Source organism: Homo sapiens, chromosome 12 (assembly GCF_000001405.40).
Source record: "Homo sapiens chromosome 12, GRCh38.p14 Primary Assembly".
In the NCBI taxonomy this organism is placed as follows: domain Eukaryota; kingdom Metazoa; phylum Chordata; class Mammalia; order Primates; family Hominidae; genus Homo; species Homo sapiens.
In genome coordinates, this window is record NC_000012.12 from 43,386,697 (window position 1) to 43,409,520 (window position 22,824).

The 22,824-nt window shown below is 35.2% G+C and overlaps 1 protein-coding gene across 3 annotated transcripts in view; it reads right to left on the reverse strand.

Moving 5' to 3' along the window:
- ADAMTS20 (ADAM metallopeptidase with thrombospondin type 1 motif 20) overlaps positions 1 to 22,824 on the reverse strand; it is a 199,441-nt gene that overhangs the window by 33,934 nt on the left and 142,683 nt on the right. For all 3 annotated transcript variants that reach the window (XM_011538754.3, XM_017019979.2, NM_025003.5), the window contains one exon: positions 12,370 to 12,537. In XM_011538754.3, the coding sequence (XP_011537056.1) occupies positions 12,370 to 12,537 (168 nt within the window). The remainder of the gene's footprint in view (positions 1 to 12,369; positions 12,538 to 22,824) is intronic.

Sequence of the window (22,824 nt, forward strand, 5' to 3'; positions counted from 1 at the left end):
TATCTCTAATCTTGTCTTCACACTTTATTTCATTAAGTTGATCTTCAATTTCTGATATCCTTTCTTCTGCTTCATTGATTCAGCTATTGATACTTGTGTATGCTTCACGAAGTTCTCGTGCTGTGTTTTTCAGCTCCATCAGGTCATTTATGTTCTTCTCTACACTGGTTATTCTTGTTAGCAATTCCCCTAACCTTTTCTCAAGGTTCTTGGCTTCCTTGCACTGTGTTAGAACATGCTCCTTTAGCTCGGAGGAGTTTGTTATTACCCACCTTCTGAAGCCTACTTCTGTCAAATCGCCAAACTCATTCTCTGTCCAGTTTTGTTCCTTTGCTGGCGAGGAGTTGTGATCCTCTGCAGGAGAAGAGGCATTCTGGTTTTTGGAATTTTCAGGCTTTTTGTGCTAGTTTTTCCTTATCTTTGTGGATTTATCTACCTTTGGCCTTTGATGTTGGTGACCATTGGATGGGGTTTTGGCATGGACGTCCTTTTGTTGATGTTCATGCCATTGCTTTCTGTTTGTTAATTTTCCTTCCAACAGTCAGGCCCCTCTGTTGCAGGTCTGCTGGAGTTTGCTGGAGGTCCATGCCAGAGCCTGCTTGCCTGGGTATCACCAGCAGAGGCTGCAGAACAGCAAAGATTGCTGCCTTTTCCATCCTCTGGAAGTTTTGTCCCAGAGGGGCACCCATCAGATGCCAGCTGGAGCTCCCCTGTATGAGGTGTCTGTTGACCCCTGCTGGGAGGTGTCTCCCAGTCAGGAGGCACAGAGCTCAGGGATCCACATGAGGAGGCATTCTGTCCCTTAGCAGAGCTCAAATGCTGTGCTGGGAGATCCACTGCTCTCTTCAGAGCCAGCAGGCAGGAACATTTAAGTCTGCTGAAGCTGCGCCCACAGTTGCCCCTTCCCAATTGCTCTGTCTCAGGGAGATGGGAGTTTTATCTATAAGCTCCTGAATGGGGCTGCTATCTTTCTTTCAGAGATACCCTACCCAGAGCAGAGGAATCTAGAGAGGCAGCTTGGCTAGAGCGGCAAAGCTGCAAGCTAGAGTTGTGGAGGGCTCCACCCAATTTGAAAAAATGAATTGTGGTGGGCTCCATCCTATTTGAACTTCCCTGTGGCTTTGTTTACACTGTGAGAGGAAAACTGTCTGTCAAGTCTCAGTAATGGCTGATGCCCCTCCCCCCACCAAGCTCCAGCATCCCAGGTTGACATCAGACTGCCGTGCTGGCAGCAAGAATTTCAAGCCAGTGGATCTTAGCTTGCCGGACTCCATGGGGTGGGATCTGCTGAGCTAGACCATGTGGCTGTCTGGCTTCAGCCCCCTTTCCATGGGAGTGAACAATTCTGTCTTGCTGGCATTCCGGGTGCCACGTACAAAAAAAAAACCTCCCGCAGCTAGCTTGGTGTCTACCCAAACAGCCACCCAGTTTTGCGCTTGAAACCCAGGGCCCTGGTGGTGTAGGCACCTGAAGGAGTCTCCTGGTCGGTGGGTTGCAAAGACCAGGGGAAAAGCATAGTATCCGGGCCAGATAGGACCGTCCCTCAAGGCACAGTCCCTCACGGCTTCCCTTGGCCAGTGGAAGGAGTTTCCTGACCCCTTGTGCTTCCCAGGTGAGGCAACATCCCGTCCTGCCTGCTTCTGTTCACCCTCCGTGGGCTGTACCCACTGTCTAACCAGTGAGATGAACTGGGTACCTCAGTTGGAAATGCAGAAATCACCTGCCTTCTGCATTGGTCTCACTAGAAGCTGCAGACAGGAACTGTTCCTATTTGGCCATCTTGGCTGATTTGTTGATTCATGATTATATTTCAATGGATAGGAGTTTTGGAAAACTGGCTGTGTAAACTGTAAACTTAGACAACTTTGTCCAAGTCTTGTTTTTCTTATGTGTACAATTTTGTGTTACTTGTGAAATGTCACAGAACACTTTCCATACATTTATTCCTGTCAACAGCTCTATAAAAGCGGTACTATGGCTGAGGACACTGGGACTCAGAGAGGTTAAAGTCCCTTGCCTGAGGTGCTGCCTATAGTTAGTGATTGTCTTAGTCTGTTCAGGCTGCTATAACAAAATACCATAAACAGAATGTCTCACACACCAGAAATTTACTTCCCACAATTTTGGAGGCTGGAATTTCAAGATCAAGGTGCTGGCAGATTCTACATCCAGTGAGAGTCCACTTTCTGGTTCCTACAGGGCACCCTCTCACTGTGTTCTCATATGGAGGAAGGGATGAGCTAGCTTTCTGGGGTGTCCTTTATAAGGGACTAGAAAAGGCCCCACCTCCTAATACCATCACCTTGGGGGATAGAACTTCATCATATAAATTTTGAAAGAACACAACCATTCAGATCATCCCATTCTTTCCCTGCCCCACTCCTCAAATTCGTGTCCTTCTCACATGAAAAATATATTCATTCCATCTCAATAATACCAAAGTCTTAGCTCATTCTAGCATCAATTCAAAAGTCTATAAAGTCCAGACTCTCATCTCAGTATCATCTCAATCAGATATGAGTGAGATTCAAGGTATAATTGATTCATCCTGAGGCAAATATCTCTTCAGCTGTGAACCTGTGAAATCAAGAAAGTTATGTGCTTACACAACACAATGGTGGTACAGGCAAGCCATAGGGTAGACATTCTCATTCCAAAAAAGAAAAGTAGAAAAGAAGAAAAGGGTAATAGGACTTGAGTAAGTAAAAAACCCAGCAGAGCCAACAACAGTAAATCTTAAGTCTTGAGAATAATCTTTGATGCAATGTTCCACCTTCTGGACACACTGGGGCAGGGATTGGGTCCTCAGGGCTCTAGGTGGCATTGCCCCATGGCTTTGTTGGATTCAGCCCATGCCACAGTTCTCATGGATTGTAGTTTGGTGCCTATGGCCCTTCCAGACTGAAGTTGCATGCCAGTGGCTATAGTGGTCTGGGGTCATGGGGGCAGCTCTGATGCCATGGCATCAGCTTAGTGGGGACAATTCAGCCAGGTTTTTTTTGTTTTTGTTTTTGTTTTTGTTTTTTTGCCACTTTAGAACAAGGATGGACTTTCCTCCACTGTCCAATAACATGATAACATGTTATGATTTCCATCTGAGACCTCATGGCCTTTACTGTCCATATTTCCATGAACATATCTCTGCCCTTGCAATGGCCCTCTTCCTTGCTCATGTGCCCAAGTCCGTAGGCAGCTCTATCCTTTGAAATTTAGGCGGAAGTTGCCACACAAGCATGACTCATTTACTCTGTGTGTCAGTGGAGATAGTCCCACTTGGACACTGCTAAAGTTTATCACCTGTGAACTCTGGAGGGATGGCCATCATAGCCATTGCTGTACTTGGGACCACTGGAGACACATCTGGGGTAGTTGAGGACTGCTGTGCCAGAATGTGGGAAGCAGAGCCAATAATGTGGGGTGGCACCAAACCATTGCAGCCCTGTTCTGTCCTTAGGCCATTGCACTCTGGGCCTATGCAATCCCTGAGGAGCTTCAGAATGCTGTTGGGAGGCCATCCTTCCATTGTCTTAGACAATATATTATGGCATCTGTTTAGATAGCTGTCTAATCTCCCTGTTGTACTGATAAACAGCTCATAGCTTAGATTGAAATTGCTGATTCAAACTAATCAAACTAATCTCCTTATCAAATTCAGCCACACCTTTTGTATTCTCTCCTGAACTTTCTCATTTTTTCAAATATAAATAGGCTGAGAATTTTCCAAAATGTTAAGTTCTGCTTTCTTTTTTATTAACAACTCCATCTTTGTATCATTTCTCTTTTTAAATTTTTCTATTAGCAGTCAAGAGAAGCCAAGTTGCACCTTCAATACTTTGCTTAGAAATATCCTCAGCCTAACAGCCAATTTCATCACTTATCAGTTCTATCTTCCACAAAACACTGGAACATGAGTACAGTTCTGTCAGGTTTTGTTTTTTTGTTTGTTTTTTGCCACTTTCGAGCAAGCATGGACTTTCCTACACTGTCCAATAACAATTTCTATCTGAGACTTCATGGCCTTTACTGTCCATATTTCTAAGAACATTCTGTTTGCAACTACTTAGGTATTCTCAAAGATTGAGGCTCTCTCTAAAGCTCTCCTCTTCTCTTTATGGGCTTTTACAAGAATAGCCCTTAATGATCCATTCGTGGCACTATAGGCTTTTTCTAGCATGCATTTCAAAGCTCTTCCAGCTGCTAGTCATTACCCAGTTCCAAAACCACTTCTGTATTTTAGATATTTGTTATAGCAGCACCTCATTATCAGTACCAATTTTTTTTTATCTTAGTCTATTAGGGCTGCTATAACAAAATACCATAAACTCATGGCTTATAAACAACAGAAATTTATTTCTCACAGTTCTGGAGGCTGGGAATTTCAAGATCAAGGTGCTGGCGGTGTCAGTGTCTGGTGAGGGCCTACTTTCTGATCTGTAGAAGGGTGCCTTCTCACTGTGTCGTCACATGGGTGAAGGAACAAGCTAGATCTCTGGAGTGTCTTTTATAAGAGAACTAATTCCAACAATGAGTGCTCTACCCTCATGATTTAGTCAGCTCCTAAAGTCCCTACCTCCTAATACCATCACCTCAAGGATTAGGATTTCAACACATGCATATTTTTTTTCAGGTGTAGGGTTGGCAAATATTCAGATCATAGCAGCAGTGAAAAATAGTTGAAGTTCTGTTCTTTTTTACTCCAGACTGAGCTCTTACTGTGTTGCCTCCTGGGGATGAAGGAGGACTTGGCAATCTTTCAACTCTAGGATGTCACATCTTCCAAAATTAAGTAGTAAAGCCATATAATAACAGAGCTTAACTACAAGAGCTGTGATGCCAACGTTAAAAAAGTGTAGAGTATGTCTAAAGATATTTAATTTGTGAGTTTCATTGTTTATATTCCTTGTCATTCCAGTAGGAATTGGAGGTCATAATGAGTAATATTGTTTGGGGATCCATTAGTATTCCCAACTGTAATATTATAAGGGGGAAAAATCAGGTTATTCACCAAGTTCATTATTTCTGCAGGATTCCAGAGTAACTAATTTCCTTTTCACAACAGTAAATATATATCTGCAAAATACAGTTTTACCCTGAAAGAAAAAAATTTAAAGCCCACAAAAGCTAAGAATTTCGTTTACCCAGTAGACTAAAATTCCTCTCATAAACTGTGTCAACATTTTTACTGGAAAAGCACTTTAAAATTTAGTTTTCTCTCTTGTGAGTATAAGCAGCAACCACCAACTTCAAAGAGAATTTTTGTTGTTTTACTTATGAAGTAAAATATAAGGCATATTTAAATGTATAAAATCTTATGCACATCTACATAACTTACACTGACCTTCATGTTATGCTTAAGCAGTTGAATTTTGCCAACTCATTAAATATTTTCAGAAAAAAATATACAGTTTTTTGTGTAGAGAATAATAATTTCATGTGCACTTTGTGTATGGCACAATATTAAATAGACTAAAATGTCTGGATGTAGTTTAACGTAAATGAATCTCTTATGAAAATGTCTAGCCTATAAAATAAAGCTCCTGAAAACATTTTTCACAGCTAATTTCAGAAATATAAACTATATTTGGAAAACATCCTGCCTCTAAGCCTGAAAAAGAATTCCTGGAAAAAAATAGTTTATAAAACACAGTTTAGCAAGAAGTTCTATTAGATAAATATAATTTCCTACAATTCAATAAACCACACTTAATTATTGGTCCTTTGATCCTAGCATGAGTTTTTAAAAATCCACTAAGAGAGCAGCTAGCTACTATATTTTCGATATGAACCTCTTCTCTAAAAAGAAAAAGAAGGGACTACTACTTGGAAGAAAAAAAGTAACTTGTTTTTCAGTTTTTAGGAATAAAAGTACAAAAGCATAAATCAGTATGGTTTTAGATTTTAACATAGACGAATTCATTGCTTAAATTGAATATTCCTTAGCCTGCTGTCATCAATAACCCCAACTGCCAAGTCCAATAGAAAGTTTTCAAATCTTTTCTTAGTTAATCTCCCGAACACATTTGGCACCACTGATCACTTTCTGTTGAATCATTCTGGTTCTGTGATTGAAACTCCTTTAGTTCTAGGGGGTCTCCTCTTACCTCTTGAATTGCTCCTTCTCAGGGTCTTTTACTATTTTCTCTGCATATTCTTTAAATGTCAGCATATCCCAGGGCTCCATTTATAACTGGCTTCTCTTAAAAAGCTCTTTCTGAGCAATTTCTTCTATACATGAGTAATTTCTAAATGTTATCTCCAGCTTTGGTCACAGTTCTGAGTTCTGCATTTACATTTTCATGTATTTATAAGAACCGTTTCATGTATTTACAAGATTTTTATGTGTTTTCTACTTAGATATGTCAAAGGCACCTAAAATGTAACATTTCCATAGCAGAACTCTTTCCCTTTTCCCAAAGCCATTTTCTTCTAAGGTTGTAGATACAGGGAAAACACTATCATCCACTCTTAAGTGGCTTACTAGAATGGCTTCTCAAGGTACATTATAACTCCTTAATATGTATCCATTATTTTAACAGTGTTATAGAACTAATATAAGCATGTCAAATTTCGTTTTTTTAAAAAATCCAGGTAATGAATGTAAAGGCATTGTGAAGCTGTAAGTGCAATTATAACACCACCTAATTGACTGGGATGCACTACTTCTTCATCTATATTACATAACTCAATCCAGACAGTTCATAAATATCCTATTTATGAAAAAATATAACACTGCATACATTAGTGCTTTAAAGACTTGAGAGTGGAAATGGATTAGGTAAATTTTAGCGAATCCACAGGTACTGTAACCATTATAGCTATTGCGGAGCAGAGATAAGGAAATATTAGATTCTGCATTGCAAAAATGGGTTCATCAAGGCTGACTCACTCTGCTATTTAATAAATAATTATTTAAAATGAAAATAGGGAAGTCTTCTCTTTTGAAGCCTTGTTTATAATTTTTTTATTATGGATAAGGTTTTGATTTCATTATAGTCACTTATTTGCAACTATGGTTTATTTCAAGGGAATCAATAATATAGTAGTACCATTAGCAGTAGTATAGTATTTTGAGGTTAAAGAGACTCTAGGAATAAGTAATCCTAATTTCTCTTTCATTATGAAATCTTTCTATAACAATAATGAATGAGTGACCATAAAACCTACCCATACTTAACTTCATTGTGGCTATGTTCACCGTATTGTGAAAGCAGCCATGGCATTTTTTAATCTGCAATATTAGCAAATATTCTCTTATATTGAACTAGAATATTTTTTAAACTTTAATGCATTGTCCAGAATCTGTCTGTCTTTTAAATGTAGAACAAATACATACCTAATTTCATGTGAGAAAGTATGAAGATGTGAGGACTGGAACTGTGGCAGCCATTTTATGACCATTACAAGTTGAACAACAGAATCACAGAAATGCCAATCCAGCACCCTAATGTTGTAGAGCTGCTGAATTAAAATTAAAATCAGAAACACTCTGATTTTGTTATACGAAAAATAAAAGTCTTTGTAGTTTAAATCACTAATAAAATCAGGGCTCTTGCTACTGGCAGCAGAACACTAGACAACTGACAGCATAGTTGCTACCATTTAATTGTTTTTCTCTAGGGATATGGAAAATTGTCAAGATTTTACTTATAATCTGTATTCCAGAATAGGCACCACTTCAAATATCTGATCAGGATATATTAGTGCCCAACACTTTGAACATCATCCTTCTGTTAATGTAACCTAGTATGTTAGTGATTTAAGCAACTCCATCATATTTAATATGTGATCAACTATATCCTCAGTTATTTACCCTTTAACCTGTAAAATCTATATATATAATATTTCACATTTATGCAACAGACATTTTTACATTAAAAACTTGCCATGAATTCAGCACAACTTAGAAATTACATTTCTATTGACTACACTATTACATGCAGTGCAGTGACGGCCTGAAATTGTGAACTTCATGTGTCCTTCTTGGCCAAAGGGGCAATAATTTGCTAAGGAAATATAAGGATGAGCTAATGTATAATGATATTAATGGGATAACGATAACTAGTATAATGGAGAAAGCTCAACTAGACCTCTGTTCAAATCCCTGCCCCCAACATTTCCTGCACTATGACCTACACAAGCTTCTTAACCTTTCTATAAGCTGCTGTTTCTTCATCTGTCTAATGAACGTAATAAAACCTGCATTTGTGGGGAATAAAAACTCTTAATATAGTATCAGGAAGTGACTGTCCCTTGCTGCTCCCTTCTTCTCATTTTTTTACTTTTCTTATGGAGATTCAACCATTTATGCCTTGAAAAGTTTGATAAATGCCCTAAGTTAGAGTGCTAGTCACCTCAGCCTACCCCAAGAAAGGCCATTTTAAATATCAAGAAAGATGATAAAGGAGGAGCATTAACAGATAGCACTGAAATGAAAAATAGAATTTCACTATCTAGAAAAAATTAGGAAGCAAAGTTTAACCAGCGCTGGAAGCAGGAGGGCATCCTCCCTGTCCCTGAACCCTAGTCTACCTTCACCAGTAGAAATGTCACTGAATACCCTGACATTTCAAATGAAGGGATCACAGATTCTTAGGAGCTTTAGGGACTTAAAAAATTAACATTTACTATTTTTCAAATTATAAAACATATATGTATATGTCAGAAATTCTGAAAATATAGAAATAAAGATTTATACTTATGTATTTTTGAAATATAGACAATATGGAATTACAGAAATACAAAATATCTTAAACATCTAGCATTTAGCATACAGTTTCTTTCTTTTCTTTTTTTTCCAAATTAGGGGCTTTGGGTGGGGAGCACTGGGCAGCAGATTTGTGGGATTTTGGAATTTATATCACCTTTGGTCCCAGCTCTGGTCTTAAAATGCAAGTAAGAAAATGATGGGTCTCAAAGAAGGTGTAAGCAGCCAAGAGGCTGATTTGACCTGGTTCTACATTGAATACTGTTGTGTGAGATTCTTTTTTTTTTTTTTTTTTTTTTTGAGAGTTTTAGAATGGATTTACTATATGAGACTGGAGAACACACTATCTGACCATACTTCTTAGGAAGGTCCAAAGAAAACACTTCATTCACCAAGGTAATTAAGAATGCACTGGTGAGGGGACACAGGCTGTCCAGCAGGTTTGCCATGATTAAGGGGAGGTGAGAATTCAGAATATTTTTTTCCTAGAGATTGTGCATTTGGATGGCACTAAAGTAAGTAGATGGGACCTGAGACAATGAAGAATCTAGAACCATACTAGCTTTAAAAACTTGAATTTACAAGTGAAGCTGCTATTCCCAAATAGATAAAATTAAACGAAAAAAAAAATCCCCTCGCTTCCAGGAAGTGGGGGTGGGGTGGGATTATTTTTTCTTTTAAATGATTCAATTATTTAATTTGCATCTAAGGATATACATTTGAACATAGAGGACAAACGGCCCTGTATAGCAATGTTTGTTCCTGTTTAGCAACAGTCATTAAAATGCGTTACTAAATCCTTTCGTTAAAAAAAAAGATACAAATATCAAATGAAGAGTGTTCCTTCAAAACTCATTTAAGCACCTCTGTGGTCAAAATTTACCAAATGAGTCTTTCCATTTGAGGCATCATGTAAAATAGTAATAAAATGAAATTATTTTAAGAGTGAGTGATTATATTAAGGTAATGTTACAATTTATACAATCGGAATAAAGCAACAACCAGTGATTATCTTGTAACTACCTCTGAAATTACGCTTCTGTTTAATACATTATTATATGTAGTGCAATGACAGCTTGCAATTGTTAACTTCGTGTGGGTGCTTTTTATAGAATAAATCAAAAGGCAATGACTTCACAAGTGGTCATTTGTTTCTGGCAGAGATTTGGGGACTGTGTGGGTGAATGCAACTAATTTCTATGACAAGGAAAACTAATTCAAGGAGAAGCAAGCAAATTATATAAAAAAGCATCTATTTTTTATAGTCCTTAAATATTCATATCTGTATTTTTGAAGCCCCAGAAATATGTTCCTTTAGCAGATTTTATATAATTTCATATTTGGTGGTAAGCCAAGGCCAATTTGTTACCACGGATGATGGATTCACTATTGTGGAGCTGGAGGTTCAGAGACAGAAAGTGTCTCTCATGAATACCAACCACAGCAGCTGCAGCAGCTGCACCGCAGCAAAAGAATCTTTGGGACCAACAGGAATATTGGTGGCCAAGACACAAAAAGTCTCTCCCACTTCCACTCCCATGCCCCCGTGGCTCCTGCCTGATGTAGGAACTGGGAGTTAACTGCTGGACAGATCTGTGGCCGTTCATATTCAGTGCCTTTACAATGTTTCACACGCTTAGGGGAAAGCTACTTTGCCATTATCCTGACACACCTCTATCCAGATCAAGTAAGGCAAACCTCCACTTTAAGCAAAACCACAATATTGGAAACATAATAATTTAAGAGATGGTGAGTATTTTTGCAATTAGATCACAGTATTCAAAGTAAGAAGTATTTAGCTTAGATACAAAGCTAGGTGTGGAAACAAAATGTCCATTGTCGCCAAGAGGAAAAGAGATACTGGTCTGAGATAATTCTGAACAAGTGAGCATGGGTTAGGTTTTAGTCTTACTCCCTAAGGATAATGCTTAGTCACAGATGATATTAAGTGACACAAGATGATATTAAGTGACACAAGCATATCTGAGTTCTTCTGAGCTCACACTATGTGAATGTAAATAATGGCCAAAATATATGTAGAGAGGCCATTACAGACTCAGGAACAGATGATGATGAACTATTAAACTAGACCGGGGTGTGTGCAATGGAGATTCAAGAGCTACTTGAAAGAGATGAGAGAACCTGTTGAGTGACTAACTATGGAGGCAAGGAAAAAGGATAAGGATGGATCCAGTATTTCTTTCTTGAACAACTTAGTAGAGAGTAGTGACATTTACAAAATAAAACAAGTTAATAGAGAAATCTTTTAAATCATGACCTCTGGTAAAGCATGAAAAATAATTGATTTATTTGATGAACATTCAATATAGAAGCAAATGCCCAATAATACATCTTTTTTTGTGGGATAAAAAACAGAGATGCATTAGCATCTAGTTTTCAATTAAACATTGACCACAAGCCCCAGCACATTAACACTTGACAGAGGCTGCCTCTTCTACAAAGAAATTTGAGATTTTTACTCAATTTGGAAGGCTTTTATTCAGTATCAGTGAGGCACTGACATAATTCCACTCCAAAGCTGTGTGCCCTGCATTGACATGCTGAGCGCAAAGAGAGAATGATGATGACTTTTGACCCCAGGGGAAACTCCATTTCCTTCTAGCTCCCCAATAGACATAACTCAAACATCTGACAGAGATAAGGAAGTTCCAACATCAGAAGATGGGTGTCTTTTTCCTTTTGCAGGACTAGGCCCTTTAAGAAATAGATAAGCTCTCTGAGGTACTACTGAGAGCAGCCAGATGGCTACATTGAAAGTCTAGACCCATTGAAATTAGTCCTCAGGAAATTATTCCAGTTATCTTTTCTGACTTCATTCATGGCTTTTGTCCTGTCAATATTTCCCAAGCTGGTGGTGTTTGACAGTCATTTTCAAATGCATGCCTACCCGAATTTAAATTTTGATCTCTTTCCTCTGAGTATGCCAAGTGGTATCAATTACCCTTCTTTTACAGGCTAAATTGTCAGCCAGGGTCTCATTTATTTATCAGCTTCATTTTTGCTGAGTCTTTTCATTTTTGGTGAGTCTTTTCATTCTAGCGCAGCCTAGGCTATCTATCTCTGACAACTTCCTAACTCTCAATCTCGGATTACAATCCCATCTGGAATTTACCAGTCCCTTCTCCAGGATTCAATCTTAGCTAAAATCCAAGATTTGGGGGTAGAAACAAGGCAGTTACTAAATGTATCATCATATATATTTTTCTGTTAGCCTGCATAGAATACTATTATGATTATCAGTAGCCTCTGCTAGTATTCAGTAACAAAATTTCTTGTTAAGTTTATAGTCACAAAAATCAAATGACTAGGCTGGGCACAGTGGCTCACGTCTGTAATCCCAGCACTTTGGGAGGATAAGATGGGAGGATTGCTTGAGCCCAGGAGTTTAAGAACAGCTTGGGCAACATAGCAAGAACTGGTCTTAATTTTTTAAAAAATCAAATGACTAATTTATTATTTAACTATAAACTTAGGAAATGTGTTAACACTGTTTAGTATTAATACTAACTTACAGCATAGTGCAAAAAAGTATATAACAATAAATTTTAGAGAAGCAAAACATTCAAGGTTATGAAAAATAAGAATGAATTTTCTTTTTAAATACAAAAAAATACATATATAATTATAAAATATACATCATATACCTCATTCCAGCTATTGGCTTTCCATGAAGGGCATCTGACAGATCTACAGGCTTTGTGAGTTGGAGGTTTCTGTACTTGACTGCAATTTGTGTCTTCTAATTTCCTTTGGAATTGGTCAATGCAAAACACTTCACGGTACTTTCTACCTTTACCACAAGAAGCTGAGCACTAGAAAAGAAATATGAATGCACTTGATTCATTTTCTTCTTGATTAATTTAAGCTTATCTTAAAGAAGTACAAAATGTAACAATCCACACATAATTCCTTTGATATTTTTATGAAGATATGCTCTAGTATTTCTAATTAGTGAAAAGTTAAAAGTTACCAATCTGCTCTGGACCATCAATTAATGTGAATATCATAAGGTAATATGATTACATTTTTATAATTTATTCTACAAAAATGTATTGATTGTCTACAATATACCAGGTACTCTTCTGACACAACAATGCTTCAAATCTTTTAAGGTTAGACTATCCTCAACTAACTCCTTTTATCATCCAATAAAACTTGTATTCAATCTTGTAGCATCAATACCCATTCTATTTTTATCTCCACATGCTTTTCTATACTGTAAAGTATGTTTTCTATGTTAAAAAATTTTAGTAATCTCTCAGTGCAGAAAACTGATTGAGAAAGCAGAAAGTTTATTTTTTTAACAGCATTTCAGTTCAGGTTGTTTTTGGCATCAGTCTGGAAGATGTCTTTCTCTACCATCGGCCTTCTGATTTATTTAGTAAACAAAAAATAACTGAAGTCTTTTTAAAAATATAGGTAAAATAACGATTTGACTTCATTTGTCAGCCAGTTTTCATTTTATGAGTGAGGACAGTGCAATATGGTAGAAAGCACTTGGGCTCTGGCATTGAGTATCACTTCTGCCACTTATAGCTGGGTGACTTTAGGCACATTTCATAACCTGTCCAAGTCTTGATTTTTTTTCATTTATAAAACATGAGTAGTAGCATCAATCTTACAAACTTGTTATGAAGATTAACATAAGATAAAGAATATGAAATGTCTAACCCAGTCCTACTACACTTGGTAGATCCTCAGTAAACATTAGCTTGCTCTTCTACCATTTTCCTTCATATAGTCTCAGAGAGGATATTGACAATTTCAGCATGATATATGTACCAGGGGAAAGCTAAGCAAAGAAGTCATGGAGTTCAGACAACCTTTCTCATTCCTCTGAGACAGTTGTTGGCATATGGTTTCATTTAGAAACACATTATGCATTTTATGCATATTGTGAACTCATAGAATATTAGACTATATGGCCTATTTGATACTCAAATACTTTAAACTTTTAAAAAATGAACAGTCTGGAGAAAATTTACCTTTTTATATTACTAGCAATATGTTGCAATAATGCATTGATTATTAAGAACTATTATCATATCTTAGATGTTCTCGACCTCTCCTCCACCTCATTAATACAGCCATTCCATGCTGCTTAGAGCACACTTGGTTCTGTGAAAATCTCTAATGGATCTTCATATGTTGTATTAAGATACATTCTTTCCTTCTATTGATCTAGACCTACCTATATGCTTTACCGTTCCTGACCATGTTATCTTGGGCACTTACCCTGCCTCTTTCTTTTCTTCATTGTTTATTTTTCAGAGTATAACCTATTCTATACTAAAAAAAAAAATTCAAATATTATTGAGTATCAAGTATATACCATGGAGTGTGCTGACTACTTTGAGTATGTACATGTTCACACATGGAAGAATAATTTTCCCCTAAATAATACTTTTAAATTGTTACTTTTTGAACAAAGGAAGCATTTATTACTCCCTCTGCTAGCCACTTTATTAAAAGGTAATAATTACTGTGAATAGTCATGCAAAGATTCATTAAACAGCATCTCTTGCTTTTGCCCTTGATGTATCCTCCAAGTGCTTATAATCTAAATGATACACATCATCTATGAAGTGAATTATACCAGTGTAGGTCTTAATATTGCACTCAATGAAGATCAGAAAAACAAAAACACTACACGATACCAAATACCATTAAAAGGATACAATAAAAAGTATGATAGAATTTAAAAATTCATGAAATGTAGCCATTTCTTTCTAGGATATTTGTAAGTGTTCAAAGAGAAGATAATATTTAAATTCATTCTTGAAGGAGAGGTAGGTTTGTTGATGGACAAAGATGAATGGTCTTATGTGTATGTTTGATATGACTTATCTAGACATTGTCCAGCTGTGTCTGTTTTGTAAAATTCCCAGAGTTCGTTTAACAATGCCAAGAATCCAAGAATCAGCCAGTAAATATACAGTAAGTTGTTGGCATTTCTGATAAGAATGGCCAATTCATTTACAAAGCTATGTAACATAAGAGGAGACAGGTTAAATTCCAAATTCTAATTAAGAATTCAGCAATACATTTCCTCTATAAGCATTATCTATGAGTGGAATATAAACTCACACATGTAGTACACTGCCAAAGTTAATAATTATTTTTCAAGAAACTGAATAGTCTTCTACTCTATAACTTTAGGTCATCTTTGCTTCTCTCTCTTCTTTGTTACTTTAATCTATTAAACTAATATAACTTATTACTAGTCTAATCCAGACTGTTATTGTCATTGAACATAATTTAAACATAAATCTATTTTTATCAATCTTTATATTTTATAATTTATAAGTATATTTTTATGCTTTTTTTTTTGCTCAAGTGCTAACAATGGCTCTCTTATTGTCTTAATAGCAAACCAAACTTATACTCCTTGCTTTCTTGATCCACCAAATTTTAGTCAACATGCCTTTCCAACTTCATATTTTGCTGCTTTTCACCATGCAAACCTTTGCTCTCTTTAAGTATAATTGCTTTCTCCTTAATGTGACACATTCGCTCAAAAACAGGGCCTAACTCATTATTTTCTTTACCTAGACTAATCACTTCCTCTAATAATTATCCTTAAAGCCCTAATTCAATCCCATGTCTAGGGTAAATACACATCAATCTTTCACTTCCCTGAACTCTTCTGAGTCCTACCCTGTTTTTAGCACTTCATCATTTTCTGCATTTTCAACTTTTGTCACATGCTTCATCTACCCAGCTTCCTGAAGGTCAAGTCCTTTTAGATCACCCATATCACCTACAAAGTGGCATGTGTAATAACTATCAGCTGATGGATGTTTATTAATGGTATAAGCAATTTTTAATTTGCTTTTATTAAACTCTAAAATAATTTACTTAAAAATTTTAAATTCCATGAAATATATTTATTGGTTAAAAAACCAAAAGTCCTCTAGGAATGTTAGAAAAAAATACAAAATCAAAGAATTATAAAATAAATTATGCTTTATACTTTTAAAGTAAAGTTCTTTTTCTCCAAGATCTGAAGAGGGTAAGTACAGATTCTATCCTCAAGATTTAAAAAGGAATACATCCAGTATTTTATCATATCTGATGGAATTCCATCTGGGAATTTCTTTAAAGTAAAACAGGACATGTTATGCAAACAGTTATGTTTTAGTTGGAATGAGGCATCCATAGAGTAAACAACTAGTGAAATGATACCTTCCTTTCAAACCATAATACATTCTAAGTTGTAAGGATTCCACAAAATAGCCCATTTGGTAGGAATATTCAAACATGCAGTTTTTTCTTCTGGTATCCCAGCAATCTGCTGTTTTTTTCCCCTCCATTTTATAACTCTGACACCATCATAGTCTTGAAGTTTTATTTAGTGCTGTATAATTCATTTCTAGCATTCTCATCAAAAGACTTTTTCTCAAAAATCAGCCCTAGTTCCCTTAATTGACATAGTCTTAAACTGTTACTGAGATTTTTTTTTTCCATGACTACTATGGAGCAGTAGATACAGCACACAACCCATTTCAGAAGTAGTGATACTAAATAAACATACAAGTGCCCTGAACTGATAATTCTTATAAATTATGTGCAGACAAATGTCTAAGATAAAACAGGGCATTTGAAACAAATGCAAAATTTGCAAGGCCTGAAAATGTAGTAGATCTTTAGAGTTGTTCTAGTTGGCTGGTACTTTGCCTTCCAGAATGGAGAGCTGAAGTTAATTAGTCCCCTCTAACATGATAACTTTGGAATAAGTATATTTTTATTTTTAGAGAAAAGCTGTACATAATTATAGAATAAGATTACTTCTCATATTTGAGGTGCGGATTTTTTTGTTTATATGTAAGGATACTGCAGAAGAATGAATGTATTGACTTAATTTGTGGGAGTCTTCTTGATTAATTCTGGAAACTTAAATTATTAAACAAAATAAAATAAGGAAATAAAATTCATTTAGTTTCAGTTGTAGGAAATGGAAGCCTTGTTTTTTTTTAGGCTTCCCTAAACTATTATATTGATCTGGCACTGTATCCTTTCTGACAGTAGGGGGAAACATACAGGTACTGGTTAGAATTAATATGTACCCAAACTAGTAATTGTATATCCCTGAAAAGTAACTATTACACTAGTCATGCATAAACTGTGCCCTTTATAGATTTTACAAGCTGGGTAACTATAAAATACCTATTTCATATACATCTCTGGGTAAAGGTAAGATGAAAGGCATTTTTTTTTAAAGAGAGAAATAGCCAAACTAAGAAAACTCTAAAGACATCTGTAATGCTATAGCAAAATGCAAAGTAAAATAAAATCAATAAAGAACTAAAAAGAGTACTGCAGAATATCACATTGATTAGATTCAGGACAAGACTGAAAATGTCTCCCATAAAGCAAATGGAATAGTGAAGATGAGACAGATAGAGAAGAGATGGAGAGTCGACGTATGAATGTTGTTTCCCGGAAAATATTCTGTTCATTCCCAGCTCAAGTCATCATATCATTGCACATGTCATCATATCATTTCCTCCCACCCCAACACGTTCACCCATTTCATCCCCACGTATTTTTCAGTGCTGAGTTTAAATCTCATTTCCTTCTCGAAACTCCCTTCTCTGATGGAGGATGTCTGATGTCCAATTTAGACCAGATTAGGTAGGGTTCTTACAGAATTTTTTTAGCATCCTTTGCTATACTCAGTACACCTGAAAGTGTCTGTTCTATGTCTCTTTTCTTTTCCAGACTATAAAATCTGCTGAGAACAGACATATTGTGGGGACACACACACACACACACACACACACACACACACACACACAAATAGAAAGCACCCAGAATCACTCATTTTTAATTTAGTGTGTCATGACTCATTCTACCTTTCTTTTACAAGGAGGAAATAATACCAACGCACCATGAACCACAGGATCTTGCATCAACTTACTGACCAATGTTTGTCTGAAGTGGTAGATATTCTGCTGGCACCACATGAACTGATTTAGATGGTACATTTCCAACGTAATAGATATTTTACATAGTAATGATCATCCTCAATTTTAGCTATAAAAATCCCTCAGCTGGCTATTTGAAAAAAATATCTGAAGTTTGGTGTATAAAAAATCAAATGAAATTAAAATTAAGAGTAAGCATTATTTATCCACTGGATCTTTTAATTAAGCTTGGCTACAAAAGTAGTAAATATCCATTTCATTTGCTACTACATCATTTCATCTATGGATGAAGATATATATATTTGTTTTTATGTTAATCATCTAAACTTTAGTTAAACTTCTCTAAGAGTATCAAAACTAATATTTAATACACTAAAAATTAGTCTTTGAAACACAATATTAGAAAAAGGCTTTGATATCAACTGTAAGTTTTATGTTAAATATTTTTAGTGACTACTAAGATAAAGTTGATTATTGAGAGGGAGTTTAAAGAAAACCTAGTTTACCTTCATACATGTTTCCTTCATATAAATTATTGTGTTATAATTTAAAATTTTCTAAATCCATACATAGCCTAAATTATTGCCAGCTGAACAAACTTTCAATGAGTGAATTTGGCAATGACTCTTTTGCTGAAGCACAGATTGTTTAGTTATTCCAGGTCAATCAGTAAGAACTAGAAGTATCTTACAACAGTTAAACTACTACTCCTTAAACATGCCTCCACATTTGCAGATAAGGAAAATATTTAAAATTAAATAGAGGCCAGGTGGGGTGGCTCATGCCTGTAGCCCCAGCACTTTGGGAGGCTGAGGCCAGAGGATTGCTTGAACCCAGGAGTTTGAGATCAGCCTGGTAACAAAATGAGACCTCATCTCTACAAAAAAAAAAAAAAAAAAAAAAAAAAAAAAAAATTAGCCAGGCATGGTGATGGTGATGCACATCTGTGGTCCCAGCTACTTGGGAGACTGAGGTGTGATGACTCTTGGAGCCCAGGGGACGGAGGTTGCAGTGAGCCATGATCACCCCACTGCACTGCAGCCTGGGCAACAGAAGAAGACGTCTTCTCTAATAATAATAATAATAATAATAATAATAATAATAATAATAATAAATTAAATATTTCAAAATTTGATAATATAATTGTAAACATTTCATATGCTTTTTCAAAAACCATTTTGGGAATGGTTAAAAATTATGAAACTTAATTTTTCAGCTACCATAAATAACCTAACTAGACATAAACTTCATAATTATCATTTTTCTCCCTCAACCATTTTATTTTAGTCCTCTATTGTTGTTATTAAACAAAAAATGACGACAAGAAAATACAAAACTGAGTAAAAATAAATGAGGTGATATTATTCAATTTCACTTTGGCTTTTGAAGTTTTCTGATTGTTTTTCAAAACATAATAATTTAGAAGTCATCAAATGATCAGACAAAAACAAATTTTTACTTTATTACTAGATATGTCACTTCTCTTTGTCTGCTTTCTGACAGCAAGGTGCATAAGTCATCGTTGAAAATGTAAGCACTTATAACCATATGGCTGGGTATTATGTCTATCCTATTGCTCATTGTATGCCAGGTATTAGCTAATTTCTGCAGACAACCAAAGAAAACATGCTGAGGGTTCATGCAACCTTTTCGTTTAAGTAAAGGTAAACTTAAGGAAACACACATATTATACATTACAAATTCAAATCCAGCTTCTCATTACAAACCAGAAATCATTTCCATCAAGATAAGTGCAACTTCATAAGATGTATCATGCAATACATAAAATAGAGTGGTTTTTCTTTAAACATCCACATATTATAATAGCTAAAGATAATCAGATGTTGGAGTGTCTCTCTTGGAACAATTTGAGAGGATTAGTTGTGTTTTCTTTAGTCTTTGGCAATTCCAAATGTATCAGTGAACTTTTCAACATTAGAGTATGTATTATTTATCCTGTTTTTATCTCTTTTCAAAATTAAACTATTTTATGCATCTGCAGCAAAGTTAAATTAAAAATTTTTAATAAAAAACATATTATAGCTATTTTGCTAAATAATTCTTTAAATGATGTTTGAGTGATTATATTAAATGTCTTTAGAACACTATTATGAAATAAAAGATTAGTGTATGAAACAACATATTAAATCAGGAAATGACAGAATTTCAAGTCAAAACAGACCAGAAATTAGATATTCTGAGAAACAAAACACTATCATGTGTATGCATCCCTGTATATGTCTTTCATTTTTTTAGAAGCCTATAATAACATTCTCTAAATAAAACAAAGAGGCTATATCTAAACCCCAATAGTTCTGAAATCTTCCAGAAGCCAATGATACTTGGAGATCTAAGAGAAAAGCCCACTACAGTAAAATCTTAGATATGAGTTTATACAACTACTTTGTAATTGAGGGAATTACCTAGAATGAAGAAACCTTTTTTAAACTGAGCGTCTCAATTATTAGCAAAGTAAAACATTAAAGTAGCTATAATAGAGTAGTAGGATATATTTCTGCTTAAAACAAAAAAAATGACAAAATATGCATATTAAGACTAGAGTGTCAACTCTAAAATAGTACTGCTACTGTTCCTTTAATTCAATACACATGTGCTCTAAGGAGTAAGACACTAAATCCATCAACAGGGACCCCATTCATAGTGCTTCCTGAAAGATAATACTTACAGTTTTAAAGTTTAATGGAGTTTGAAAATGTCCTTTTTAACTTGTTACAGGCATTCTTTGACTATTCAGCTCTAATAAGCCAAGAAAGCATTTGGTTTTAAAAATATTTACCACTGAAATATTTCATTCAATTGCATTGCATCTAATCATATTTAAAATTTGTAGCTCCAGACATTTAAAAATTTAAAAATCAGATTAATTTGCAAATATATTTGACTCTCAACTTAAAGGAAAAAACCAAATGATTAACAACAAATATATCCAGCAGACTTCGATTAAATTAATATCATTGTAATAATAATATATAATTTTATATTATTTTGAGCATATATGTACATGTATGTACACTCATAATGGATTTACAGTTCTTGGCTAATTCATGCAATATGAGAGAACTTACATGTAATTCATCTAACTCAATTGGAAGTAATATTTAAAGATAATTTACTATAATTATTAATATTTTCTATATTATAACTTTGGAAAAGTTTTGTGATTATTTTCACTTTCAAATATAAAACCTGAGGGAAAGCTGCAGTAACTTATGCAAGTATCTTGTACAGAAATATTCACTTATCTCATTTTATAATATTATTTTCCACAAATAACTATTAGAAAATCGGAACAAGAAATCATCCTAGTGAGTGAGAATTAAAGGACTCAATTATTGGATTAATTTTCTTCAATAATAAGTTTTGATAAAGAATCATTTCAAACCTGCAAACATTAGTTATTGAACTTGAGTTTATTTTGGTAGAAGCAATAGTAAATGTAAGTCTAACTCAAGATGTGAGCACTATTTGTAGCAAAAAATACTCAAGAAAAACTGCCATTCATTTAAAGCTTGTAATTTATATTTTTAACTTTCTAATAATATTCTTTGTATGTACTACAAAGGGGAAATGAACATTTCAGACTCCTCTATAAAATCTGTTTAGCAAGTGAAACTCATCTAAAGAGTTCCTGTTTGGAGTTTTTATTGACTCATCCAGTAACATGAACCTTTACAAGTATAGGGTGACATGGAGAAAAATGGTATGGTTAATATGAGAACAATGCAAATCTTGTCTATTTTTAACAATTTCTTTGGGGCCATTATTGTGAATTTACTTTTTCTTAATGTTTTTACACAAATCAAATGAAACACTGCTTTTGAAAGAATGTGTGCCACATTCCATTATAAAAACTCCACTCCCATCTTACCCCTGAGAGCCTACACCCAGAAGCATGACCGTCTGCCTTCCTGGACTGACAAATGCAGAAAACTATTCAGTGTGAGTAGACCATAAAAAGCTAAAGAGATTAGAAAAATATCTAAAGCATACCTTTTTACAAAAATATTGTCTTTTAAGGCATTACTATGGTAACATTTACAAAATTCTTAAAATCAAGTGCCAACAAAATAGCAGGATTTACCATTTCAAGTTCCCACAAATGTTTTATGTGCTAGCTGTGGGAGTTAACAGCCATAAAGCCAAGAACTATGCTTTTAAGTAGGGTTATAAAGGCCTAAAAAGGAATATGCACAGAGTACTCTGAGATGAGAAATAAATGAGTTCTAAGGATGCTTTGAAAAGAGAAATGTCAGAGTTGAGATTAAAAGACCATACCCACTGCACATATTAATGTCTGTTTTCCATATGTAAAAAAAGCTGAGGGGAGAATGTTTTAGAGATTAATTTCATATTTCAATGAATTTAAGTTAATTTCTAAGATTTTGCCTTTAATTACACAAAATTAACTATTTGTATCAATATTTAAGTTGGGGTTTCATCATTTTCACTAGTGGAGAGTAGTAGATGGAATACTAATCTAGCAGTACATGGGATTTGGTGTCAGAGGCCTACAATTGAATCTCAGCTGTCAGAAGCTATGATAATAATAACACTTACATCTCAAGGTGGTTGTGAGATTAAATTAGATAATGTATGAAGAAACCTGAAATAGTGCTTGACACAATAACCTAAAAGCATACTAACCTGTATTCCTTTTTTTTACTTCCTTTCTCAAATCCTGAGTGTGTTTTTATCAAGAGAAAATAAAGAGAAACTATCCCCTGAAAATAAAAATACTGTAGTTATGAGAGAAATGTAGATCCTATATGGACAAAACAAAAATAGAATACTATGACACTAAAACAATAAGAATGCAAGACAAACCTTTTGATAATTAAAAAATATAACTAAAATAAAGAATTCAATATATAGTTTAAATATTGATAAAGTTTCCCATCAAGTAAAATCAAAAGACAGAAGTAGAAATAGGAAGATAAAAACAAGAAAATTAGGCCAGGCGCGGTGGCTCACGCCTGTAATCACAGCACTTTGGGAGGCCGAGACGGGCGGATCACGAGGTCAGGAGATCGAGACCATCCCGGCTAAAACGGTGAAACCTCGTCTCTACTAAAAATACAAAAAATTAGCCGGGCGTAGTGGCGGGCGCCTGTAGTCCCAGCTACTTGGGAGGCTGAGGCAGGAGAATGGCGT